Source organism: Homo sapiens, chromosome 19 (genome assembly GCF_000001405.40).
Source record: "Homo sapiens chromosome 19, GRCh38.p14 Primary Assembly".
In the NCBI taxonomy this organism is placed as follows: domain Eukaryota; kingdom Metazoa; phylum Chordata; class Mammalia; order Primates; family Hominidae; genus Homo; species Homo sapiens.
In genome coordinates, this window is record NC_000019.10 from 40,766,181 (window position 1) to 40,773,655 (window position 7,475).

The following is a 7,475-nucleotide window of genomic DNA, read 5'->3' on the forward strand; positions in this document are numbered from 1 at the left end:
CTTCTGGCTGTACAGCCACAAACCCAGCTGCAGCTCTGGATTAGAAAGGGAGATTGGGCAGGGTGGCTCACGCCTATAATCCCAGCACCTTGGGAGGCCGAGGTGGGCAGATGACGAGGTCAGGAATTCCAAACCAGCCTGACCAACATGGTGAAACCCCGTCTCTATTAAAAATACAAAAAAAATTAGCTGGGCATAGGGGTGCGTGCCTGTAATCCCAACTACTCAGGAGGCTGAGACAGGAGAACTGCTTGATCCCAGGACGGGGAGGCTGCAGTGAGCCAAGATTGAGCCACTCCACTCCAGCCTGGGCCACAGAGCGAGACTCAAAAAAAAAAAAAAAAAAAAAAAAGGTTGAGTCAGGCGTGGTGTCTCACACCTGTAATCCCAGCACTTTCGGAGGCCGAGGCGGGCGCATCACCAGCGGCCAGGAGTTCAAGACAAGCCTGGCCAACATGGAGAAACCCCATCTCTACTAAAAATACAAAATTAGCCAGGCGTGGTGGTGTGCTCCGGTAATCTCAGCTACTTAGGAGGCTGAGGCAGAAGAATCATTTGAACCCAGGAGGCGGAGGTTGCAGTGAGTCAAGATCGTGCCATTGCACTCCAGCCTGGGTGACAGTGAGACTCCGTCTCAAAAAAAAAAGGGAAGGGAGATTGGTTGGGGGGACCATCCTTAGGAGTTTGTCACATCCCTGTCCTGGGGAATTTTAAATTGACCAAAAATAATATGCACATGGCCCGGTGCTGTGACTCACGCTTATAATCCTAGCACTTTGGGAGGCCGAGGTGGACAGGTTGTCTCAGCTCAGGAGTTCAAGACCAGCCTGGGCAACATGGTGAAACCCCATCTCTATTAAAAATACAATAAATTGGCCAGGCGTGGTGGTTCATTCCTGTAATCCCAGCACTTTGGGAGGCCGAGGTGGGTGGCTCACCTGAGGTCAGGAGTTTAAGACCAGCCTGGCCAACATGGTGAAACCCCGTTTCTACAAAAATACAAAAATCAACCAGGCACGGGTGGCGGGTGCCAATCCCAGCTACTCGTGAGGCTGAGGAGGGAGAATCGCTTGAACCCGGGAGGTGGAGATTGCAGTGAGCCAAGATCACGCCATTGCACTCTGGCCTGGGCAACAGCAAGAATCTGTCTCAAAAAAAAAAAATTAGCTGGGCATGGTGGTACACACTTGTCCCAGCTACTTGGGAGGCTGAGGCATAAGAATTGCTTGAACTTGGGAGGCAGAGGTTGCAGTGAGCCGAGATTGCACCACTGCACTCCAGCCTGGATGACAAAAAGAGTGAGACTCCATCTCAAAAAAAAAAAAAAAAAAAGTGTGTGTGTGTGTGTGTGTGTGTATATATATATATATGCGCATGCGCATATTACTTAAGACCCTTTCTCACACCAGGTACATGGAAAAAGGCAATCTTTTGGCAAAAAGTAGATCTACCACTAAATACAGTAGGCCAGGTGCGGTGGCTCACGCCTGTAATCCCACCACTCTGGGAGCCAAGGTGGGCAGATGACGAGGTCAGGAGATCGAGACCATCCTGGCCAACATGGTGAAACCCTGTCTCTACTAAAAATACAAAAATTAGTTGGGCGTGGAGGCGCGTGCCTGTAACCCCAGCTACTTGGGAGGCTGAGGCACGAGAATCGCTTGAACATGGGAGGCGGAGGTTGCAGTGAGCCGAGACTGCACCACTGCAATCAACCAGCCTGGTGACAGTGAGACTCTGTCTCAAAATAAATACATACATACATGAATACAGTAAAACATACTAAATTTTTCCTTGTTTTTTGAGATGGAGTCTTGCTCTGTTGCCCAGGCTGGAGTGCAGTGGCATGATCTGAGCTCACTGCAACCTCCGCCTCCCAGGTTCATGCGATTCTCCTGCCTCAGCCTCCTGAGTAGCTGGGACTCCAGGCACCCGTCACCATGCCTGGCTAATTTTTTTTTTTTTTTAAGGCGGGGTTTTGCTCGTCACCCAGGCTGGAGTGTAGTGGCGCGATTTCTGCTCACTGCAATCTCTGCGTCCCGATTCTCCTGCCTCAGCCTCCTGAGTAGCTGGGATTACAAGTGCATGCCACCACACCTGGCTAATTTTTGTATTTTTAGTAGAGACAGGGTTTCACCATATTGGCCAGGCTGGTCTCCAACTCCTGACCTGGTGATCTGCCTGCCTTGGCCTCCAAAAGTGCTGGGATTACAGGTGTGAGCCACCGCGCCCGGGCTTTTTTTTTTTCTTTTTTGAGACAGAGCCTCACTCTGTCACCCAGGCTGGAGTGCAATGGCATGATCTTGGCTCACTGCAACCTCCGCCTCCTGGGTTCAAGCAATTCTCCTGTCTCAGCCTCCTGAGTAGCTGGGACTACAGGCACCCGCCACCATGCCCGGTTAATTTTTGCATTTTTATTAGAGACGGGGTTTCACCAAGTTGACCAGGCTGGTCTCAAACTCCTGACCTCAAATGATTCACCCACCTCGGCCTCCCAAAGTGCTGGAATTACAGGCGTGAGCCACTGTGCCTGGCTAAACATACTAAATTCTTATTTTCCTGCCAAGGCTCTAGGCCCAATCCTGCTCATGCCCTGCTCTCCCTGTTCACGAGGAATGTCAATATTAAAAGCAGTGAAGATACAGGGCACCCCATGCAGACCTCCTCCACTTGTGATGGGAAAGATGGGAACGACAGGAATTGCCCTCTGCAGTAAATGACGTTTATTGCTGACAGGCAAGGGGAAACATCTCGCCCACCATACTGGCAACCACAGGCCTACTGGCTATTAAGTATGTGCGTTCCGTGGTCAGCTGGTCCTGGTTTCTGCTTTCTGGGGACTTCATAGCTGTTAGCCCATGGGCAGTTGATGTCCCCAGTCTGAGTTTTGTTTACTTCCTGTGTAAAGAGTAGTCCCTCTATATTAATACCATGATGATGTTTGTACTCATTACCCATCCCCTAGCACACACTCTCTCCCTTTCAGTCACTTAGCAAGCACTCAATAAGTTCAGCAAATATTTGCTGGGTACCTATTGTGTGCTGCATACTTTTGTAGGGACAAGGTATGCAGTGATTAATAAAATAGAGAATTTCCAGTATTGTGTTGTGATGAAAACAAAACTGATGTGGTGGGGCCAGCATACTGAGAGGCCGAGGTGGGAGGGTCGCTTGAGGCAAGGAGACCAACCTGGGCAACAAAGTGAGACCTCATCTCTACAAAAAAAAAAAAAAAATTAAAAATTAGCCATGAGTGGTGGCATGCTAGTTGGGAGCCTGACCCAGGGGGTTCACTGGAGCCCAGTTCAAGGCTGCAGGGAGCTATGATGGTGCCACTGCACTCCAGCCTGGGTGACAGAGTGAGACCCCATCTCCAAACAAAAAACAACCTAGGCTGGGCCAGGCACAGGGGCTCACACCTGTAATCCCAGCGCTTTGGGAAGCTGAGGTGGGTGGAACACTTCAGATCAAGAGTACGAGACCATCCTGGCCAACATGCTGAAACACTCTCTCTACTAAAAATACAACAACAGCCGGGCGCAGTGGCTCATGCCTGTAATCCCAGCACTTTGGGAAGCCGAGGCGGGCGGATCACGAGGTCAGGAGATCGAGACCATCCTGACTAACCCGGTGAAACCCCGTCTCTACTAAAAATACAAAAAAATTAGCCGGGTGTGGTGGCGGGCGCCTGTAGCCCCAGCTACTTGGGAGGCTGAGGCAGGAGAATGGCGTGAGCCATTCGGGAGGTGGAGCTTGCTGTGAGCCGAGATCGCGCCACTGCACTCCAAAATCCAGCCTGGGCGACAGAGCAAGACTCTGTATCAAAAAAACAAACAAACAAAACAACAACAACAACAACAAAATTAGTTAGACGTGGTGGTGCATGCTTGTAATCCTAGCTACTTGGGAGGCTGAGGCAGGAGAATCACTTGAACCTGGAGGTGGAGGTTGCAGTGAGATGGAGGTGCAGTGGCACTGCACACTCCAGCCTGGGTGACAGAGCAAGACTCCAAAAAAAAAAAAAAAATCCTGATGTGAAGCGGGTGATGGGGTTGGGAACAGTAATGAGTGGTCCAGAAAACCCTTCTGAGAAGGTGCATTTGAGCTGAGCTCATGGTGCTTGGTGTTGGGTTTGTAGACATGGCACAGACCTAGTCTTCATCCCTGACAAACTCTTCCCTGGCCCCAAGCCTGTGTGTGTCCATCCTCTTCTAAAAAAAGCTTGGACTTGCCAGTCTAGAGGTGAGGGTCCCTGGGAGCAACGTGGACCCTCTGGAGAAGGACGCTTAGCCTGTGGATCTCCGAAGCACACTTTGGAGGTGAGAGATGAAAAAAAAGAGGCCGGGCACGGTGGCTCACCTCTGTAATCCCAGCACTTTGGGAGGCTGAGGTGGGCAGATCACTTGAGGTCAGGAGATCGACACCAGCGTGGTGAATATGGTGAAACCCGTCGCTACTAAATATACAAAAATTAGCCAGGCATGGTGGCACGTGCCTGTAGTCTCAGCTACTTGGAGGCTGAAGCAGAATTGCTTGAACCCGGGAGGCGGAGGTTGCAGTAAGCCGAGATCATGCCACTGCACTCCAGCCTGGGCGACAGAGTGAGATTCTGTCTCAAAATTTTAAAAAATTAAAAAAAAAAATTGTGCTTCTCAGTGGCCCTGCTCCTGTGGCTGCAATATGGAGGAAGAGTACAAAGGGTGGGTACAAAGACTGGCCTCTGTCTTGCTGTTGGGAAATCCAGCTGCCACGTTGTGAGCTTGTGTCTGGAATTGGTTCCTTCTGGTGGGTTCTTGGCGTCGCTGACTTCAAGAATGAAGCCATGCACCCTCGCAGTGAGTGTCACAGTTCTTAAAGATGGTGTGCCTGGAGTTTGTTCCTTCAGATGTTCAGATGTATCTGGAATTTCTTCCTTCTGGTGGGTTTGTAGTCTATGCTGAGTTCAGGAGTGAAGCCACAGACCTTCGCGGTGAGTGTTACAGCTCATAAAGATAATGTGGACCTATAGAATGTGCAACAGCAAAATTTATTGCAAAGAGCAAAAGAACAAGGCTTCCACAGCATGGAAGGCGCCCTGAGCCAGTTGCAGCTGCTGGCTAGGGTGGCCTGCTTTTATTTCCTTATTTGGTCCCACCCACATCCTGCTGATTGATCCATTTTACAGATAGCTGATTGGTCCATTTTACAGAGTGCTGATTGGTCTGTTTTACAGAGTCTGATTGGTCCGTTTTTACAGAGAGCTGATTGGTGCGTTTACAAATCTTTACCTAGACACAGAGCGCTGATTGGCGTGCTTACAATCCTTTAGCTAGACACAGAGCGCTGATTGGTGCATTTACAATCCTTTAGCTAGACAGAAAAGTTCTCCAAGTCCCCTACCTGATTAGCTAGACACAGAGCACTGATTGGTGTGTTTACAAACCTTTAGCTAGACACAGAGTGCTGATTGGTGCATTTACAATCCTTTAGGTAGACAGAAAAGTTCTCCAAGTCCTCACCGGCCCAGAGGCCCAGCCATCTTCACCTCTCAAGCTGTCTGTAGAGGTCCACGTGTCAAGAAAACTGAGGACAGAGGCCCTCAGTCCAGTTCCCACAAGCAACTGCATCTCCCCAACAGCTGCCTGAATGAGTTTGGAAGCAGTCCTCCCACCATTCAGCCTTCAGATGAAACTGCACCCCTGGCTGACAGGCTGATTGCAGCCTTATAGCAGACCTTAAGCCTGAGACATTCGACCCACAGAAAAGGTGATAATTTTGGTCTTTTTTTTTCTAAACAGGTTCTTGCTCTAGAGTGCAGTGGCACGATCATGGCTCACTGCGGCCTCTACATCCTGGGTTCAAGTGGTCCTCCCACCTCAACCTCCTGAGTGGCTGGGACTACAGGTTTGTACCACCATGCACAGCTAGTTTTTCTCTTTTTTTCTTCTTTTTGTAGGTACAAGGGTCTCCCTGTGTTACTTAGGCTGGTCTCAAATTCTTAGGCTCTAGCAATCCTCCTGTCTCAGCCTCCCAAAGTGTTGGGATTACAGGCATGAGCCACTGCACTGGGGCAATGTTGGTCTTAGGCTAATTATGCAGCAGGAGATACATGCACTGTGCTTTGGGAATTGAAGTCACTTCTATTTCTTTGTGGCTTCATCAGTAATATGGGGCAGGGGGCACGGTTCCCACAGCTGATTCTTGAGTGTTCTTTCTGAGTATCCTTAATACTTCACACACTATCATATATCTGAACTTTGTTCATTGATTATCTCCCCTTTAATTTTCATTCCTTGATGAATCTCCAGGGTCTGGATTAAGTCCTAGGATACTTTATGTACTCATGAAATCTTCAATGAATGAAGAAATGATTTTTTTTTTTTTTGAGACAGAGTCTCACTCTGTCACCCAGGCTGGAGTGCAGTGGCATGATCTTGGCTCATTGCAACCTCCACCTCCCAGGTTCAAGCAATTCTTCTGCCTCAGCCTCCTGAGTAGCTGGGACTACAGGCATGCGCCACCATGCCTGGCTCATTTTTGTATTTTTCAGTAGTGACAGGGTTTCACCATATTGGCCAGGCTGGTCTTGAACTCCTGACCTCAGGTGATCCACCCACCTCAGCCTCCCAAAGTGCTGGGATTACAGGTGTGAGCCACTGCATCCGGCGGATTTTTTTTTTTTTTTTTTTGAGACAGGGTCTCACTCTCTCGTTCAGGCTGGAGTGCAGTGGCGTGATCTTGGCTCACTGCAGCCTCCACCTCCCAGTTTCAAGTGATTCTGGTTCGGCCTCCCAAGTAGCTGGGACTACAGGTGTGTGCCACCATGCCTGTCTAATTTTTGTATTTTCACCACGTTGGCCAGGCTGGTCTCAAAACTCCTGACCTCAAGTGATCCGCCTGCCTCAGCCTCCCAAAGTGCTGGGATTACAAGAGTGAGCCACCATGTCTGGCCTGAATGAAGAAATAATTTTTTAAAGAGTGTTTTAAAGTGGGGCCGGGTGCGGTGGCTCACACCTGTAATCCCCACACTTTTGGAGGCCAAGGTGGGTGGGTCACTTGAGGTCAGGAGTTTGACACCAGCCTGACCAACATGGTGAAACCCCATCTCTACTAAAAATACAAAATTAGCTGGGCATGGTGGCAGATGCCTGTAATCCCCGCTACTTGGGAGGCTGAGGCAGGAGAATCACTTGAACCCGGGAGGGGGAGGTCACAGTGAGCTAAGATCGTGCCATTGCACTCCAGCTTGGGTGACAAGAGCGAAACAATGTCTCAAAAAAAAAAAAAAAAAAAAAGAAATTGCATTTCAAAGCCAGGTGCAGTGGCTCACACTTATAGTCACAGCTACTTAGGAGGCTGCGGTGGGAGAATAGCTTGAGCCCAGTTGTTCAAGGCTGAGTGAGCTGTGATTGTGGCACTGCACTCTAGTCTGGGTGACAGAGTGAGACCCTGCCTGTAAAAAAAAAAAAATCTTTCAGGCCAGACGCGGTGACTCA